The following is a 21,101-nucleotide window of genomic DNA, read 5'->3' as shown; positions in this document are numbered from 1 at the left end:
CAGTTTATTCATATTAGGGTTTAATGGGACCATGTAATTCATTTTTCACTGACTGTCCCTTGCCAACCAGAACATGCTGTGTTGTACTCTCCTGTGACCTGACACAGTGGGATTGGAAAAGACAGACTAATTTTAGTGAGAACTGAGCACATATCGAATCACTGTGTAAAAATCATATAATATTCCTAAGGCAAATATTAATGGTATCTTGATTAAGTTCTGCTTTGGATTAATTACTTATTCTTATTTCGTTAATGAAATTAGTGGAGATTTGCTTTATATATGTATATCTGTGTAATTTTTATAAATGTGTAATTATCAGAGTGTCTTGAAGGGTCTTTCTATAAATGATCACTTTGATGTGTTACGTTGGATGATGAATTTTGGTTTGGTTCCAGTTGCAGGAAGTTTGGGATCCTCCTTTGGATTGTGCATCACTATGCAGGTTAGTATGAGTCATAGTGTGCAGCAGCGCCCCTCACACAGGGGCACCAGCTGCAGGGGGTCTGTCCCTTGCAGACACCTGACCCAGGGACGGATGAATAACATTCACTGACACACAGATATTCTGCTTTGCCAGTCCAGCTGAGGGTGTCTGAGCTGCTTACAGACTCCCTGTTAAGTGCTGTAAACAGTTGCGACTATGGCACTGATCATCTAGTGAGACTCGCATTTATTCAGTAAGATTAATTAACAGTGGCTTGAGTCAACACTATTAGAGGGTAATTGACATTGTGGACTTCCCAAGTAAAAAGCACTTAAGCACCTGCAGTACGTCAGAGGTTAGTCTTAAGACCACATGGGTAAACAAGCTAGCTAGGTAAACTACTCTGCCTTCCTTTGTTACTACTTTAATTTGTTTAACTAAAGGTAAAGGGACCAGGCCACCATCAGCCAGATATATTACCGAAGTTATGCAAACTTCTTGGCCTTCCAAGAAGATTTGTGTCTATCTCTATAACTATCTCTAATATTTTTCCCACCAGCCTGATTGAACCGCAGCAATAGTATCTCCAGTTGAGGAGCTCACAGACTGCAGAAGAAGTGCATGTTGGCACACACCGGCACCATTATGCCAATACACGGTGGAAAAGTAGACTCAGAAAGAACATTGTGGGAGGCCTGGGGAGGCAGACATTGCTTGCCATGTGCTTGTAAGGTACAGCACCGTGTGCAGGTTAGAGTTTGATTATTTTGGGTGAAGATCATGATGTTGTTGAAGCTGATGGCAAAAGAATAATTAGGTTTTCTCAGGTGGCTGAATCTTACACACAAAGAATAGGCTAATGTGGGCCATATGATGACTTTTGGCCACCCGAGGCCTTGAACTTCTGTGTTTCCTGAGCCACTGGCTGATTTCAGAAGTCCCATCTGCCTAAGGAGTATCTTTGCTTCCCAGGTTGCAATTCCAGGCAGGCCCTGACACAGCTAGAAAATTTGCTGACTGTAATCAGTGAGTCAACCAGCTGTTCTTAAAGCAAGCTGTTTATGTGCCCTCCTGGTCAAGTCAGACTCAATGTTGAAGAATAAGTAGTTCATTCAGTAATAGCTGAGCTGCTCTTTTTTTTCAAATCCAAAACGAGAAATTAAAGCAATACAACATTTTTGCCGGCTACATTCTGTTTTGAAAAGATGAATCATCCTCCTGTTTGTACTCAAAACATCTAGTTAGGTGCAAGATGATTTGCAGACTAATTTTGTACAGGAATCACCTTTTGATAGCAGATCAATATGAGTATATGTGTTTGTTCTGGGGAAGAGGAAAATGGCACACATTTTGTTAGGAAAAAACTTGAGTTGCTACTTCTCAAATACATTATTGTAATGTTTTACATAAGTCACAAGATCATATACAATTATATGTGAAAAGCTAACAAACAAAATCTCCATTAACTCTTTGAGAAAACCTTAGTAATAGCCTAAAAACAGCCGCTTACATTCCCTGTAATCAATTTCAAATTGGGTGATATTGCAGTTTTAAGCACATTTGAAGCTCCATATTTCCTGGGTTTCTTCCTCTCTGAGTTTGGAGGTGAGCAAGGAGAATGGAAGGGAACCTAGAGGAAGCAGGAGCAGTGTCAAGGACACAAAATGACTGTGAGAAGCCTGGGTCACTCATTGTTTTAGTTAGCTTTGGTGGCAGGGGGAGGATGCAGAATAAAATTTTCTGTATACAAGAGTCACCTTCAATAGTGATATTTTCAGTGCAAGTTAAGGATAGCACTGATTGGTTGAAGATTTCATTGAATGTTAGATAAAAATGAATGTGAGTAAAATTATTCCTATCCATCTTTATTATGAGAGAGTGAATATTATTGGCGGATTTAAAAAATACTGGATGCTTTTATTAGTAAGGGACCAGAACTAGTTAGATGCTAGGTCTAACTAGCTTCAAGCCTAAGTTAACTCCACCTAAGGGTGTCCTCTGGAATATGAGATGTCACAGAAACAGTTCAAAGAGAATTCTGCCCAGAGATTTTTTTAACTCTTTTACTCCTTTGCTCCATTTGTTTCAGAGTAGGCTCATAAGGAAAGAGCCATGTTTTATAGTGGTTGTCTTTCACGCTTCCCCTCATTTGTTAACCATTTCCATAGATGTACAAGTTCTGTTAATTACCTTGTCTTTTTTTTTATTATACATGCCCAAAATTGCTGTCCTATGTTACTGTTGTGATTATTATTTTAATCTACTATTTCTGCTTTTTTCACTGGTATCTTGCATCCCTCCCAGTTACCTTCTTGAGTACCATTTTGTTATCCACCGGAAGTTTCTGAGGTTACTAAGCACTGTGACCTGACCATACCCCATGTCTAACTAGCTTCAAGCCTAAGTTGTTAACTCCAGCCTAAGGGTGTCCCCTGAAGAGTTGAAAAGCCACAGCATTTTCTAAGCTGTCATAAAATGTGACTCAGCTATCCCCAAAGCAGCCAAATTACAAACCCTTGAAGGAGTTGAGAATGAACATTGACCCTCAAAAATGATTGAAAATAGAACCAGCAGCAAAATAAAACCTGCTCCTGGGACTTGTGTGGGTTTTTTTTTTTTTCTTTTCTGCTCTTTGGTTTCAAAAAACAGCTGTACCTAGTTCCAGGATCTAAAATTTGGAGGGTTGGGTTCATGCAATACAAGTCGCCATCTCCTAGATAATGCAGGACATGGGGCAGGTAGCTGGCACTTGCTCAGTGCAGCAGCACTATCCAAGTTTTATCTTATAATTCCATAGAGGCCTTACCTACATGTAGAAGTCCCCAGAACTTCCTATGAGGATCAGTTAGTTGGCATTTTCTCTGTTGCTGAAGTTGTCTGTCCTCCTTGCCATTTTCTCTTATGGGAACAGTTGGCCCATGGGTTGAGTGGATGAGGCTTTGAAAGTCAGTTAGATTCCATAATGGCCCTTAGGCTGAAATGGCCACAAGCGGGGTCCTCTTTGGATTTAAAAAATCCAATCACAAAAAATCCAAAGCAGTCTCCAGCTGGAACCTCCATAACTTCATGGTTTGGGATTTTTAAAAATCATTTCTCTCTTTCATTAGCAGACGTAATTGGAGTTGACCAGAGAGCCACGAGTGATTGTTTTTCTGGCCCTGAGCCATCCTGACTCCTCATTAAATTAATCATTGTTCACCAGGCAATTGTTTAAATGGCAGAGAACATTTAGAACCTGGAGCAGATAGCCTGGGAGAAAGGTTGAAATACAGAGAAAAGAAGGAAAGAATTTAGGTAGCTGGGTCTATTCAGGTCAGAGTCATTACATGGCTCTTAAGAGACAAGTACTGCTGGACCTGGCCAGAGGGAGCTGAAAGAGAGCCCAGGACAAGGTCAGGAGAAAGCAGAGCCGTAAAGGACAGTTCCAGGACTGCGGCAGCCCCAGAGATGCAAATGCAGATGTTTGGTCAGTGGTGTCAATTATTTTAAATTGTAAATTGATTTTTTGTGTTGTTGTTACCATTATTTGGCTTTGAGTGGTTGGGAAATTGTGTGTGGCTGGGATTATAAAAACCCAGCAATATTCTTCAAAATATCTTTCAAGGAACGATAATTCAGTGGGAAGCTATAGGCATTAAGAGAGAGAAAAAAGACGTTTGTTAGTCAAATAATTTTGGGAAATTCTGGCTTAAATAAAGTTAAACACTTATGTGCTTCTCAAGCCTTCAACACATATTTATGCAGCATAAATCCATGAGAGAGGTATAAGATGCAAGGTTCCCCCAACTTCTCTGAGCATAAAATTATAATGGACCATCTCATACAATTAGTCTTCTGGGGAACAAATTTTGGCAAATGTTAGACTAGTACATACAGTACTGTCCTGGAAGTCAAGCACCCAGATCTGATCTTTGGTGCAGAAAGGGCTAAAGAAGGGCACAAAAATGAACGCTTAGCAATTTCAGGACTTTTCCCAAATCTGGGCCTGGCACTGATACTTAAATGAAAACATTAAAGTTACAAGAGGAACTCAGTGATACAGTGTATGAAGTCATTGATTGACTGTTCTCTCTGGACAAGAAAAGAGAGACTAAATTTTAAGTCTCTCTTTTAGGAATTCTGGGAGGGATAGGATTTTGGCCCACTTGTTTGAAGATTATTTATTAATAGGTTTCTGGGAGATAGTTTGGGAGACCATGGAGAACTAGATGCATTTGTGGGTGGAGAGAAGGAGGTAGAAACATTCAGTGTAGGTATCCTAAGTCTTGAAGGGATATTCATTTAGTCAAAAATGCTATTGGTCCAAGGGTCACTGGAGTGGAAGCTGAGGGGGGTCCTGGTGTGGTGAGCTTGTTTCTTTATATCAAGAGGGTATAATTGGCTAGAATAAATGAAAAGATAGGAGAAATTGTGGTCAGCTCTTTTCACATCTAGAGTTTTGAAGGCTATTTAAAAATGTTTACCTACTTGTTTACAATCTCTACATTTTTCAGGTATGTAGTTGGTACACCAACTAACTAGAACTTCAGATTTGTGGAGGAAGATTGTATGGTATAGGGCAAAACAAACCAAAAAACTCCCCTAAACTTTAGAAAGCTAGGGCCAACCTCATTTTTGCTACTGCTTAGCACTGTGGGATGACAATCTTTTTGTAACTCAGTTTCCTTCTTGAACATGGGCACAGTGACCTAACCTGTTCTACTACTTTCTTATAGCTAATTAATTCATTAATTTTGTCAAGAAATACTTATGGAGACCATACTTTATACTAGGTACTCTTCTAGAGTATGGGGACAAGAGTATACCAACCGAAGAAAAGAGTTTAATATTCTTTAGAGGAAGCAAACAGCAAATAAACCTATAATATAATATTATATAGTGATAAACATTATATAAACCAAAAATAAAATTCTAAACTCCCCAACTGACTGAATGGACCCCCACTCTTGACCAAGGGCATTCTAAAGTAAACCTGCAAAACTAGTTCAGGCCATGGTGGGAAGTGGGCATCACATCAGACATGCTTCATTGTAATCTCCTCCCTATGGAATTCAGGCACAACTGACCAACATTGATATTAAAACAGAAATTTTAAGACTGACAAAACTGTAGCAATAAGATATCAAATACCAACCTGTCTCTAGTATAGCATCGCATGACAGATGGCAGGCCCTGAAAGAAATCAAAGTATTTTACCCCAAAATGTATTTCTTTGACATATTTTGAAACGGCCCTGCACAGCTGTCTGTCATGTGGAAACTATATTCTATAGAGAATCCTCTTCCCTTTCCAGGTCTTTTCCTGATCCAGGAGAGATTTAACTAAGAGCCTGGAACCTTTTAGGGCTTGATAAAGACATTTATCATTTATTCTCTGAAGTGTGCGACTGGGAGGCTTTATCTACGTAATAAGAACCTTGGCTTCCACCACCCCGCCCCCCATCCTGAATCTTAATTACAAACATTTCTTTCTGCTGGCTTCAACTCTTCAGTCAGAGTTTAACCCTTTCAACCAATTACCATGAGGAAATCTTTAAATCCGCATATGACCTAGAAGCCCCCACTTTTGAGTTGTCCCATCTTTCCAGACTGAACCAATGTATACCCTACATTTATTGATTGATGTCTGCCTGTAACTTCTGTCCCTCTAAAATTATAAAATCAATCTGTAACCCAACCACCTTTGGCACATGTTCTCAAGACCTCTTGAGACTAGGCTTTGGGCCTTGGTCACTCATATTTGGCTCAGAATAGGTCCCTTCAAATATTTTACAGAGTTTGACTCTTTTTCATTGATAGTTATGAAGAAAAATAAAGCAACATAAGGGATCAGAGAGATAGGAAAGTCAGAGATGGCCTCTCTGAGGATGTGACATTTGAGAATAGACCCTATGGTGTTATTTTTATATACGTATTCATCCATGGTTCCTGGTTTATAACTCCCATCACCCTTGTTATAGTCTTTTGTTATAATGTCGGGGTGCTTTAGGCCTCAGAAAGCAAAATCTTTCTCTCTGACCTTCTCCTGTCCTCTTTTCACCTACTTAATGCAAGATTCTAATCTCATTGTAAATCATAAGACCCTCATTCCAGAGAGAGTCCTTCCCCATACTCTGGAGGAAAGATTGCTGCACAGAAAGACCAAGAAGAATCTGAACAGACAGGTCTCTTGCTGGGCTTAGATCTTATCCTTTTTGTCCAATCACATTTTGACATGGTTGTCCATGCTTCAATCATGGACAACCAATGAAGCCTCCATAAAAGGCCCAAAGGATAGGGTTTGAGGAGCTTCCCAATAGCTGAACACCTGGAGGTTCCTGGAGGAACTTCCCAGGGAGGGCATGGAAGCTCTGCTCCCCTTCTCTCATACCTCATCTGTATCCTTTGTAATATCCTTACAAATTGGTAAGCACAAGTAAGTGTTTCCCTGAGTTCTGTGAGCCACACCAGCAAATTAATTGAACCCAAAGAGACAGTCATGAGAACCCCAACTTGAAGCTTGTCAGCCAGAAGTTTCAGAGGCTCAGACTTGTTATTGAAGTCTGGGAGTTGGGGGAGCAGTCTTGGGGACTGAGCCCCCAACCTGTTGGAGTTCACTAAATGCAGGAAAATAGTGTCAGAATTAAATTAGAGGACACTCAGCTGGTGTCTGCTGCTTGGTGTGTGGGAGAAAACCCCCACACATTTGGTCATGGAAGTTTTCTGTGTTAATTGTTGTGGTGCGAGAGCAGAGGAAAAACATGGAGTTTTTCTCTAAAACAGACATAAATAAGTGACAGATTGAGCCAATGAATGCCTGGAGAAGAAGAACTAGCAGGTACAAAAGCAGGAGGTGCGAATGTGCTTGGCAGGATAAGATAACTACTTTGACAACAAGGACAACAACATAAAATGCACCATATCTTAATGGCTTCATGCAGTTAAAGTTTATCTTTTGTTTATTTGTAGAGGAACCTAGTAGGCATTAGTAAGTATGGAACTTCTGCTCCACTTAATTGTTTAGGGATCCAAGCTGAGGAGGGTCCTGCTACTTTTACCAATGGGTCCCAAATTTGTGATGGGGATCACCTTAAGTGTGGTATAAAGAGGGCATAGAGAGTGAGTACTTGTATTGCATGAGTGGTTTTGGAGACCAGGCCTGAGGGTGGCGTATATCCCTTGCACAAATGTGCCATTGTTCAGAATTCATACACATTACAATTACAAAGCATTGGGATTTACCATCTAGCCTGTGCTCTGGAATAAGAGGCAAAACAGGGACACTAGCAAGCATGAGCATTCTCTGCCACAGCACATTTGAGTCACTTCAGCAAGGTCAGTTTGGTTGAAACATGGAAAGTGAGGTGACAGTTGTAAAAAATGGTTCTTGATGGGATTAAATAAAACGATACAACCTGGGAGAATGGGAAGTGCTGGTGTATTTCATTAAATCCAAATGCTTTTGATCTTAAGCCACTATATTTTGTGTACTGCTAATAAAGAAAATTTTCTTCAAATTAAGCAATGTTACAATTTTATCATTTAGAGTCTTTAAACTTACTGAAATTGATTCTTTTAGACTTATACATGTTTTTAAGAAACATATATCACTGTTGCGTATTCCATAGAAAGGAAGATATAAACAAAAGAAATTGGTTAATACATTCTGACAACTGAAGAAAGACAAGATTCATAAATTTGGAAAGGAGAGCTTTATTTCCCATAAAGAGTTGCAGCCTGCAGGGTGGCCATTCTGACAGGCTGGGAAGTGTCGCCTCCCTCCGGTCAGAATCCTGGAATGACACTTGAAGAGTAAGGCAGGAATTTATGCTGAATGGGGTGGCCAGATATACATATTCAATAAGCTATGGGAACAGTCATGAATATTTATGAAAGGAGAAACATGCACATGCACAGTTGAACTTCATGCTTTTTGTCCTTGTTCATGGGACAAGGGACATGACCCTTGTTCAATAAATGGAGGTGTTAGCATAATCCAAGGTGGAGATTTTGGCCTTCTAATGTCAAAAAGTGAAGCAGAAGACATGAAAACCTTCACTACATTCTCCATAGACTGGCCAGAACCACTCCATGGATGGCGGTTTCTTATCAGGAAGGAATGCTGGTCAGTTGCTTTGCTGAAACTGCAAAAGAAAGGGAAAACGTCAGGCAGTTGGTTAATGTCAGGGGTGGAGCAATATTTCCAGAGGGCTGGTTTTTGTTTAGCCCTTAGGGAAAAAAGCCTAACACCATTAGTGATAGAGGGGGTATTAGTAGGTGTGTCTGAACACCCATCCCCGTGAGAATTCAGTTTTCAAGGTTTTCTGGGTCCCCTTGGCCAAGAGGGGGCCCATTCAGTCAGTTGGAGGATAAGAATTTCATTTATATTTCTCAGTTCCTAAAACTTATTCAAACTTAGGATCTGATTTTTCTGAATAGCTTTTCAGTTCTGTCATCAATGTCCATGTTTTTCCACTCACTTTTGCACTCTGCGCCATCAAGAGCTTTCAAAGAAATGTTCTTCACTGTGTCTCTTGGATTTTTCTTAGGGCTACTGAGACCTTTTCCACATGTTTTGATGCATGCATTTTTTTGGTCTTACCAGAAAATGACAACCAGAAATCATACTTCTTCAAGTGATCCTTGGACACTGTATGGACTGAAATGCTTAAGAGTTTCCAGTTGTTCAGACAAGCCCTAGGAATAGCACCCAAGTTCATGTGCATATGGAAAATGACAGTCTGCCATGGCAACCAGTAGTGGTTGTGAGACAACAGTTGATTGTTAGAGACATTAAAATGTGAAAAAAATTCACATCTTACAATTGACTACCTAGTATACTTAAGAGGTAAAGGATAAATGGATTTCTTCAAGCTATTAAAAACATCACATACTGGCTTAATGGTACATTTCTAAAGGGGCCATGGAATGGTTTGAGAGAGGGCATCTCTAAGTCAGTAATGGCATTGCTCTTAGGACATAAGAAGCCTTATGCCCATCTTCATTATTTATTTCACAGACTTATTGAGGTAAAGGGAACTCCGTTTGTTTCATCCCCTGCCTTCTCCAGCCCACTTCAGTGCATATACTGACTTCTTCTACCTGAAGCCTCTCTCTGCCTAGAACTTAAGCCAAGCTGACTCAGGAGGCTGAGTATCACGCAGCTCTAACCCACCAGTCATATGGCATGGAAATTATTTTGCTGCTCTAGGTTTCTAGTGGCCTAGGGTGAACTCCAGGTGTTGCAGTTCATGATGCTGCAGCCCTCACCTAAGCTGGAACGTGGATCCCTATTCTGCAGGACTGGGCTGTACTTGCTTTTTATGCAGCCTCAAGTTTCATATTAGGACGATGCTCTGCTCCGGACCTCAGCCCTTCTGACTAGGATCTTACCATCTTACCTAACCCTTGCCAGGATTCTTTTTTTCCCACCTGAAAAACAAACCCCTTTCTCATTTTCTTCCTAGCAGCTGGCATACTGGCCACCTCTGGAACTTCTGACCTTTGCATAGACTTTGCATGGACATGAGTGCCAGTTAAAGACATCTCTATATTGCCCAATCCTTTGGAGAAGTTTATATGGGAGTCCTTGCTTTCCATAACCCGTAATCAGTTTTTCTCAGTCTCATCTTCCAATGATACCCCACACCTCATGGCATCCGAAGGCCTAGGAAGGTTGACATGGAAACTCACTCAAGTCAAGAACCACTGGGAATGAACGCAGATGAAGCATACAGACTTCTGACAATTTGATACCTTAAGGAGGTTCTGTCCCCAGAGAAGAGCTGCTAGAGGTTTTCAGAGAGTTCCAAAATCTTATTAAAATGAGTGAATGTCAAAATAGTCATGTTTTAAAGATGAGATGGGACTTCAGAGAGCCGTTAACTTACATATTGAGCGGTTGGTGACCATTTAACTTTGTCTTATTTGAATAATTTACAGCCATTGTAAGTGGATTGTTAAACTGTGCCACAGTTGGGAACTGTTAAGGTTAAATTATTAACAAGAAGCCATATTTGTAGAATGAATGAGGCTGTAAAATGAGGTTTTCTGGAGTGTTTAAAATGGCCTATTTAATTTCTTTCCTTGCTTTGCTCCTTAGATCATCATCTTAAATTAAAAATCATGGCTCTATGTTTTTATTTTATTAGCTTTACATTTGTTTGACTTCAAATCACTCACATGATTTGCAGGAATAATTATGACCATTTGATTATGATTGCCATAGTTTTGTGGGGCTTCTATCATTTTTCATCTTATCATCTTTTCTTAGATGTTTTATAAAAGTGTTTTAAGATAGTTTTGGGGGACACTTCAATTAACTGATGCCAAATACCCAACTAATTCATCAGAAATTGGACAACATGAATCTCAGGTGGGGAAATCATCCCAGCCCACTCTCTAACAAGTCCACAGACTTGGGTTTGGAAGTTAGCACAGGTGTCTTGATCCAGGCTCAATTGCTATTAGAGCCAGAGCACAGTAGAAGTAGGGAAACACCAATAGCTTTTCAATGTCAATGTGTTTATCCTGTCTTCACATTAGTGGGCTCTGGTATAAGATTTGAGTTAGGTATCCAAACATGGAGAGAGAGAGTGTAGTCTTTCACAAATAAGGCAACTTCATTTGAGTCTAGATTTTTTTCGTGAAGAAACATTGGTAGGATAAAGGAAGGAGAGTAGTATTTCAGTTCTTTTGAGGAGTTTCCTTTTATCTCTCTCCTTCGGAGTGGTGACATTGCCATTTCTCATATTTGTTTTTGTTTTTATTTTCTTCTCATTATTTGGGAAATATCTTGGAAGGCAGGTCCTTGTAGCATCAGTCTACAAACATGAAGGGATGGGCTCCTTACATGAGGAAAGCATTGGGCTTATCACACGTTCTTCATTTTCAGACTAGAATCCTGGGGTACATTTTAATGTTGGCTAACTCCGAGGGGAGACATACTCTGAAGGAAATGCAGAGGGCCAAGCTGAAGATGGGACTTTGCCTAAAATCTGCCATGAGAGTTTAAGTTGTGTATGATGGGAAATTGTAGAGGAGAGGAATGGATGGACGCAGATCTTATACAATAGGCATGTGTATGAGGACACCCACGCTGTTGCTGCCACTAACCAGCATCTGTCGGAGCAGCACTGTCAGGACTAATTAATCAGATTTTGTACAGAGGTGGCAAAAATGAAAAACTTCTGTGAATCCCAAGTGTTATCACTTTTCATCACAATAAAGATATTTAGTGGAGTAGTCCACAGATTAGACATTTTCACGGAATCTAAGTTTTGCTGACCTCCCCTGTTCTCAGGCATTTTTGGAAGGGGTGGGGGGAAGAAGGGCTAAATTTTCATTCCATTGGCTCATGATTTTTTTTGTTGCTATTAAAATTTTTGTATTTCACTTACCACCTGTCTTTTTTGTATATTATTCAGTCCTTTGCTCTTGTTCCATGTGCTTCAGGTTGATGTCAATTCTCTGTTTTACACACAACCAGATTCCTATTTAGGATAAATAGGAAGAATAAATAAGGCTACAGAGCAGGTCTCAGAAATCATAGCCCTCGAGTGAACTCTTCTCTTCAGAACGGAGCTATCTTCCCCTCCCCAACCCCAGCTGCAGCATCCTATAGATGGGAAAGGCTGATGTCATACAAACATCTGCAGGAAAAATGGTCACACTCCACAGTGCATGCCCCCTTTATTCAACAAATGTGTAGTAATTATTTTCTTAATAAACATCTTCTATTTTCTACCCTCTGTGAGCAACACATGTTTATTAAGCTTTGCAAATCTCTGCATGGGTGCTAGTAATACAAAAAAGAATATGATAGATTTCCTGCTCTCAATTGGCTTAATTCTGAGTGAGGAGATAGACAAGAAAATCAATACTCACCATATGGTGTGTCAAGTGCAAGAATGCAAGTGTGCTCCGCAGCCAGCTTGGTATTAGAGGTACTCCTTCAGTGACGTATCTTCTTGTTTTTCTTCAATATTGGAACATTTCAGCCATTTTTTGAATAATTTATCTTCTGTATAGCATATATTAATCTACTTCTATAGAGTGTATTGAATCTTCTAATTCTATCCTGTGTGTTTGCTAACGTCTCATTTTTCATTACTTACCTCTTTATCCTGCACACTAGGGAGTTTCCTTGGATAAAGTTTTCAGTGCACTAATTGCCCCAGTTTGCATCTTCCAAGCTACTGCATTATCTAAACATTAGGCAGATGTTTTTTCCTTCCCCTTTAGAAATGTATTTTAATTCTAGTGTGAAGTTAATGGCTTTAAAAAGGACTGTAGAATCTCTCTTCCCAAATGCCAAACCAGTTGAACAAACAAAATGCTAGTAAAAATAAGCTATTATACCTCAGGCTCAAGCCAACATTTTACCTGCAAGATTCTCTAAGAGTGGAGAACTCACCTTGGGAGTGATTGAACAAAGAGAGAAGTGAGGGTTCTTATTTGACTTGGATATTGCCCAGTATTAAAGGCTAGCTGAGAAGTATTGTAGGAAAAAACTTCTTAAGATATTGCTTTTAAGAAAGGGTGACTCAGAGATGTCAAGATTCAGCCTCAGCTTCAGTGGCTGCAATAGTGACTTCTCAACTAAGGCCCTGGATTGGTGCGGGGAGTAGGGGAATGTCATCACTAGGCGCAAAACATACTATTTGAGCCAGGTGAGAACATAAGTCAAGTGAGTTATTCTAATAGAAAGAAAGAAAAAAGTAGCATCAGGAAAAGACCAGCACAACTTACTAAGAGCTAATTCCAGGGTGGGTTTGACCAACCAACATTTCATTATTAGTTAAACATGCCAGCCTATTTTGCCACTGAATCTCAGGAGCTGAACTGTCAACTACTGGGAAGTCATTTAGGGCCAAGGATAAGAGCCAGCCTCACTCTCTGATTTTAAACTGAGGACCACTTGCTTGTGAGATGAATGTGGTAACCTCATAGTTAGGGAAAAACTTCAGAACCTTAGTTACATTTAACTTTGATCCCCTTTTCTCATATCGACTATCTTCTGGGATTATTTTCCTTTATCAGAAGTAATTCATTATTATCTCTTTAATAAAGAGTATTAGATTTTTGGTGGTAAACTCTCAGTATTTGTTTATATTTGTAAAGGACTTTATTTTATTATTGTTTGTGAATATAATTCTGCTGGTTAAAAAATTTTACAATGGCAATTATTTTATCTCAATTCATTGAAGCTATTATTCCACTGTCTTCTGGATTCTATTATTGCTTTTGAGTAGTCTATTGTCATTCTTATTTTCATCCTTTTTAGGTAACCCATTCTTCCTTTCTGGATTCTTTAACAACGTTTACTTTGTCTTTGTTGTTTTTCAACTTTATTATGATATATTTAGACATGGATTTGTTTCTATTTTTCCTGCTTGAAATATCTTGGGCTTCCAATACCTGTAGATTTATATTGTCTATTGGCTAAAATAGATAAAAATTCATGATATTTTAAAATATTGCCTCATTATTGTTTTTATTCTATCTTTTTGGGAAACTGATTACATACATGATATACCTTTTTATATATTAGCCATTTGATACAGTTTGGCTGTGTCCCTACCCAAATCTCACCTTAAATTGTAATAATCCCCACATGTCAAGGACAGGGCCAGGTAGAGATAGTTGAATCATGGGGGGCTGTTTTCCCCATAATGTTCTCATGGTAGTGAATAAGTCTCATGAGATCTGATGGTTTTATAAAGGGGAGTTCCCCTGCACAAGCTCTTTTTCCTGCCACCATGTAAGATGTGACTTTGCTCCCCGTTTGCCTTCCACCATGATTGTAAGGCCTCCCCACCCATGTGAAACCGTGAGTCAATTAAACCTGTTTCCTTTATAAATTACCCAGTTTCAGGTATGTCTTTATTAGCAGAGTGAAAACAGACTAATACACCATATGTCTTAATCTCTCTTTTGTATTTTCCATTTTCTGTGTGGCAGTGTGTACATTTTAAAATATATCTTGTTGGGCTGGGTGCAGTGGCTCACGCCTGTAATCCCAGCACTTTGGGAGGCTGAGGCAGGTTGATCATGAGGTCAGGAGTTCAAGACCAGCCTGGCCAAGATGGTGAAACCCTGTCTCTACTAAAAACTACAAAAAATTAGCCAGCTTTATTTCACTTGAAATGGAATATTCTAGACTAACATTTCGATGAGGAAACTCTGTTCCATTTTTATATTCATACTGGTATTGAATGGCTTAGAAATTTCCCCTGAAGTCTGTGGTCCAGATTCTTAGGGAATTGTCTTTGGAACAACCTCCTAGCATAGACTCCTGACTCTGCCATTTATCCATTAATTGACAATTGAAGAAGAAATTAGAACCCAGTGTTGTATTATTGTTAAATTTTTAAACAATTATCTCTCTTATTGAGGCCAAACAATGGAGGTATTGCTCTGGGAAGCTGAGGTTATAGGGCTCAAGTATTCTGGTCTAATTGTTTCTAAAATTGTACTTTGTGAAGTCTGGGAGGCTCGAAGGCAGTGGCTCACGGGCTGTTGTGTGTACAGGCAAGGCCAAGGTGGAGGCAATTCTGCTCACCCCTGCTTCCCCCAGAGCAGTACCATCTTTAGTATTAGTTCTGTATATTCGAATCACACATACAACTTTCTTTGATAGAGGGTTTCCATAGTTTTTGTTTATTTTTTACTCAGGCTTTCCCTAAAATGCAGTATTAGGGTTTGGATGTTTGTCCCCTCCAAATCTCATGTTAAATGTAATCCCAAGTTTTGGAGGTGGGACCTAGCGGGAGGCGTTTGGGTCATAGGGGTAGATCCGTTATGAATGGTCTAGCACCACCCTCTTGCGGATGAGTGAGTTTATGTGATATCTGGTTGTTTAAAAATGTGTGGCACCTCCCTGCTCTCTTCTTGCTCCCTTTCACGCCATGTGATATGTCTGCTCTTCCTTTGCCTTCTGCCATGATTGTAAGCTTCCTGATGTCCTCACCAGAAGCAGATGCTGGCCCCGTGCTTCCTGTACACCCTTAAGAACCATGAGTCAATTAAACCTCTTTTCATTATAAATTACAGTCACAGGGATGGATTCCTTTGTAGTAATGCAGGCAGATTATAACACATGCAGTAATGTGGACAGTTAATGTTAACAACTTTAATGGGGATGATAATCAATTCTAATTGGTTAATTGATTACAATTTTACTTTCTTTTGTGTCACCTAGAGATTGCCTCCACCAGTTGGTACTGAAGCTATAACAGGTACCATAAAGGAGCAAGAATACCCTTGCCTTCAGAATGTTTTATAGTATAGTATTAAATACAGTACATAAAATATGTGCGTGTGTGTTTGCACACACATGTATACCATATAGTGGAAAATTTCCAAAATAAAGAGGATAACATTTACATGAAAGGAAATTAATAGCTCGTGGTCTGGTAAGTTAATGTGTCATATTTGGTAAAAGGTAGGATTTTGGAATCTACTGACCTTTTGTTCAGAGCTAAGCTTCTCACCACTAAAATACTGCTGATTAAGCTGGGTTGGGGTGAGGATTAAAAGAGTCAACCCAAGTAAAATCATATTTACTCCGTCGCACAGTTATTCAATAAATGCTGCTTCCTTTTCCTTCTCTCTGATCCTTTCCTCCTTTCATAGACACTTGCTACCTATTTTTATCCCCAGCAATCTAGTTCATATTCTCAAATTCTAATCTTTGAAAATTTCCAGGATATTTGTGTATATGTGTGTGCACACACACATTTGCTACTGTGAATACCTTAAAGGCAAGGACATTCTGACTCCTTCAATGATTTGTATTATAGCTTCAGATTTTTTCCCTGACACTTGCAAGATAGAATAACATCTATTCCTCTGCGTATCAAACCCACACACCCCCCAACATAAAAATATCCAGCAAGATGACAATGTGTCTGACTGTTAGATCTCTGAACCCATGATCTATTTCTGTTTTGGCTAAATTCTAAGGCATTTAAAATTTCTGGCGACATTAATGGGAACGAACAGATAATAAAAAGCACATTAGAGACACTCTCTCCTCTCCCTGCATTATGTCTACTCAAAAAAATCACTAAAAGTCTCTTTGGAGAAGGTTGGCCAATGAATCCCTGGAACGCGGTAATCCTTAGTGTTATGATTCTCATCTACAAATGGTTTCTGGATATTACAATTTAAGTAGTGAGGCTTGAGCTAAAGTTGACATCATGTCAACAAACTGTAACAGTTTGAAGTGACACTAAGGAAAATCGTTCTTTAAGAAACAAACAGGAACAAAATCATGAAGCGTGGGCCTTTTGCCAGTTTAAAAAAGAAAATCCATATTATTGGCTATGTTTAGTTTCAGAGATTTATGATCTAAGCCTAAGGCAGTTCTTCTAGATAAAATAGTAAACTGTGTCCACATATGCCTTTAAATAAGCCTATGACTAATTTCCTAATCATCAAAATATTTTGCACTTCATTTAGAAAAAAGATTTCAAAAACTTGATAATGCATTCATCATTTCTCACAACCCTTTGGGAACTTGAGTTGCATTTGACATATGGCTTAGAGGCAGCATTATTGGATTTCCCTAACACCCAATATCGAGTTGTTATTGAAAATATTAGGACTGAAAAAACATCTGCAGGGCTTGATGGGTCTTAATCATTCAATTTTATGAATTAAGGTATAGCATCGAGGTGGCTGCAGTGGCTGGATGCTGACTTATTTCCAGGAGTTGAGGTGGGGTGGGGTGGACAAAAGATAATTAAGAAGAGGCTTCTAGGAAACTTCATGCTTGGCTAGTCTTGAGTTCAGGAAAAAAAAAAAATCACAGAGCGTTTTGCTTTTTAAGAGTTATGTAAAGTCTTTTAAAATGCTGCCATTTTTAGCTCTCAATAAAGGAGTGATCCATGTCATCGGCCAGCTGTAATTCCTGCCCTTTCACTTTAACTTGGATTAGTTCCTGTTTTTCACTTCTTGAAGGTTCAATGTCAAATATATTTTCTTCTAATGATTCAAACCATAGTAGAGAGTCATTGGGCTGTATGGAACTTTGCCAACTTAAGAAACAAGGATTTCTTTTTGTTTGAAAAGAAAACTGTGACCTCAAGTGGCTACAATAATATTAATGCTAATGAGTAATTAGATTATTGGGCTTACTGGGTGACTGGCAGTCATTTAAATGTTGAATATGTATAAACTCTTTAATCCTAACAATATCACTATGAGTTAGATACTGTTATCATCTGCATATTACAGATTAGGAAATTCAGGCCAATGTATGTGATTAACTTGGTCAATGTCACACAGTTAATAAGTGGCTGAGCTGTGCCTTAAACCCAGTGACCAGATGATGAATAACAATCGTGCGTGATGTGTCAGAGCTGGGCGTATCACCGGGAGTGGGATGCTCTTAGAGAGATAAACTGCCCATATGCAGTTGACATAGATTTCAGGGATTTAGGCAGAAAGCTAATGTTTATGTGGAGTTTGCTTTCTCTCCTTTTTAGGTTGCCATCTCTAAGCTTGTCTGACAAGATTTAAAGGAATAATTTGAGTTCTTATGTCTGCCTAACAGGTTCTTGGTTCTTACATCACATTAGTAAGGACTGGCTCTAACCCAGTGGAGTATAACAGAGGTCTCTGATCACATTTCCTAAAGTGTGATCTGGGTTTCGTATAAAGTGCGCTGAGAGGGTGATCTTGACCTGGAATTGGTAGTACCAATATCTTTTTCTCCGCTTTATAAAATAAATCCAATTAAATAAGATTAGTATACAAGTAAAACTTTTCACTTGTAAGTTTCCTGCCAAAGAAACAAAGCATCTTTTTCTCAAAGGCTCTTGTCCTGAGATCCAAGTGCCTTTGAAGTGATTGGGGTCAATAAGATCACAGGCACAGGCAACTGCAAACCAGCGTGGGGTGTGAGAACAAAAGACGAAATAGAGCTTGGATCCTTCAATATTAAAACCAAAACCAAGGCAAAATTTTCAAAATCTATGTGGGAACAGAATACAGAGTATTCCAGAAAAAAAGTGGTGCTAACAAAGAATATAAAGTATTGCCAGAGTATTGGTGAGTGAACCAAGCCTGTTATGCATTCAGCTTGTCGTTATACAAGTAACTCTTGAAACAACGCTCCATAGGAGAAAGTAACACACTGAATCAAGATCAGAAAATGAAGAGGATCACAATATGTTTCTTTTGGGAGCAACCAAGAAAAATGAGTTTATGCATTACAAGGAACCACTCTTTAGAAACTTAAAGAACAGATAACTTCAATGTTAAAAATAATGTAATTGATAATAGTGCCTTCTAATTGCAAAATGTTTTGACTACAGCTGCAAGTCAGGGGTCTCCCAAACCACTCTAGGGTTCAATAATTTGCTAGGAAGTCTCCCCCAGGCCTCATCAAATCATGGCTTCAATTTATTATAGCAAAAGAATCAAAAGCAAAATCAGGAAAGGGAAAAAGTACATGAATGAAGTCCAGAGGATACCAAATACAAGCTTCCAAGGGGTCGCTCCTGGTAGAGTCACACAGTCCATGCTTCATTCCCTAGGAACAAGTCATGACAACACATGTAAAATATTGCCAGCCAGGGAAACTCCTTAGAGACTCAGTGCCCAGGGTTTTCATTGCAGGCTGATCATGTGGGCACCTTTTGCCAAGCACATAACAAGATTCTAGACTTCCACAAAGAAAGCAGATGTTTAGCAGACATCATATTGTTTGTATAATGGTTTAGGCATAGTGGGCCACTCTTGTCAATTAGGGTGGTGGAAATCCTTTTGAAATACAAATGCCTAGTTGCCAAAGGCTGACCTTCACCTTGCAAAAAGGCCTTCATAAAGATAGCCTGCTGTGTTAACTCTTCCATACAAATGGCAAGTAGCATGACAGACTGGGAAACACTGATGTAAAAATAAGCTTAGTAGAAACAATCAAGCAGTAGGATTTCTAAAGTTCACCTTGAGTTTCCTAAGAAGGGACAGACTTGAAGTCAAAGTGACCTTGGATGTGACATGATAAAACTCTGACAATAGTATCTGACTGTCATAGGAATGGCAGATATACTATCACCTCCCCACTTCACTCTTCCCTTCCCATCTTTGCTTTGGGCATGACTGGGCAAGGCACACAAACATGAACTCTTATATTTTAAAATTACGTGAAATATTCTCTTCTGGGATATATTTGCAAATTCTTTGGCCTGTTAGGGTGAAAGTGGCTATTCCAAAGGTAGAGTACTTACTAGACTCCCAGAACATGTAGTCATTTCAAAGTTGCACTGCAAGTGTCCATATAGGGGTTTTTCTTCACAGAGGGTTAGTTGTTAATGTTACACGTTCAGACATTGTGACTAAGTTTCTAGGGAGACTGAATGTGGTAGGTCAAATGTGTCATTAAACCTGAACTTATCTAAATTCAACACTTCTGGCCTCATAAACAACCGAATGAGGTTTGTTTGTTTTTAAGTCTTCAGAAAGTAATAAATCTATTCTGGAATGGGAATAAAAATGACAGGCCTATAATCAGAGATACTACAGATGAAAAAGACCTTATTAGGTCATTTAGTTTGCAGCTGGGTTCCTCTCAGCATGGTTGCCAGGGTTCAAACAGGGCCAGACTCAGTGTTCTAATATATCCCTCAGAAGGCTCTGCTACCATCTAATAAGGCTAGAAATTTCATCTGGAAGGTAATGGTGTCATCTATCTAGGAGCTACTACATGTAACTGATGAGAAAGGGTATACTTTAATGGTAATTGGGAGGAAAATTGCTGGGGCAAGGGCCTCTGGGGAAAGGATTGATGAAGGGCCCTCAGAAAGGAGATGTGATGGGTGCAGAGGGAGTGAGTAGGGCAGCAGCATGGAGTGCAGCCCTGCTCTGCCGAGTGCTAAGCACCAGGGAGTTACAGAGGAAGGTGAAGGAACAGTTTGTACCCTATGTAGCTTATTGTCAAATAGGTTTACCTGGGGAATCAAAATGTAAATTGAAGAACAACATGGGAAATTCTTTCTCCTTCTATCCTCCAAATTGGTGTATCATAAAATCCAATTGTAGATCATGTTTTATTTCTAATGCTGCTCATATACAATCAGTAAGCCACATGTTGTTTTTTTCTCCCCCAAATAGTGACAGAGCAGGAGTATCACCATCTTTGACAAGCCCCTCATTCTAAAGTTCACCTTAATAAAAAACCACCTAAATCCAAAGGGCATCAGCCTAATGGCTAAGGTCAGCACAACCATAAACCACAAACAACATCTCCAACCAGAAACATTACAAACTCCTCCCTGACCAGGGACATGCTAGCCCTGAGATAATTCACCTCTGGCCAGGAAGTTGCCAGCCTCGAGATAACCCCACTCCGGCTGGAAAGATGTCTGCCCCAAGATAACCTCCCCTCCCCTCAAAGACATTCCAACCCCACCATAAAACTTCTCCCTCACACAGGAACATTCCAAGCTTGTAATAAGCCCCTCACCCTAAAAGCAATATATACTGTTAGTCTGTAAGAGAAAACGCTCCTTACTGAAATTGGCCAGAAGCCCCTCTTAGGTTTTATCCGAAGAAAACCTGTCTTTGGCTGCCAGGACGTGTTTCATGTTTCTTTTCTCTTTCTTTAACTCTTACAAATAGTAGAAGACTAAATATGAGCTGTCCCAATATACTTAAGAAAGTATATTGGACAAGAGTCTGGCCTTTCT

The 21,101-nt window shown here is 39.4% G+C and overlaps 1 annotated feature.

The window, feature by feature from the left end:
- Window positions 18,948-19,482: an enhancer, noted in NCBI's record as "NANOG hESC enhancer chr1:222396031-222396565 (GRCh37/hg19 assembly coordinates)". NCBI's record gives its function as "activates a minimal SCP1, AML or CMV promoter by ChIP-STARR-seq in naive H9 embryonic stem cells {active_cell/tissue: H9 hESC(naive)}" and the evidence as "EXISTENCE:reporter gene assay evidence [ECO:0000049][PMID:30033119]".

Source organism: Homo sapiens, chromosome 1 (assembly GCF_000001405.40).
Source record: "Homo sapiens chromosome 1, GRCh38.p14 Primary Assembly".
NCBI classification, from domain to species: Eukaryota; Metazoa; Chordata; class Mammalia; order Primates; family Hominidae; genus Homo; species Homo sapiens.
This window is presented reverse-complemented; position numbering and strand designations above follow the sequence as displayed.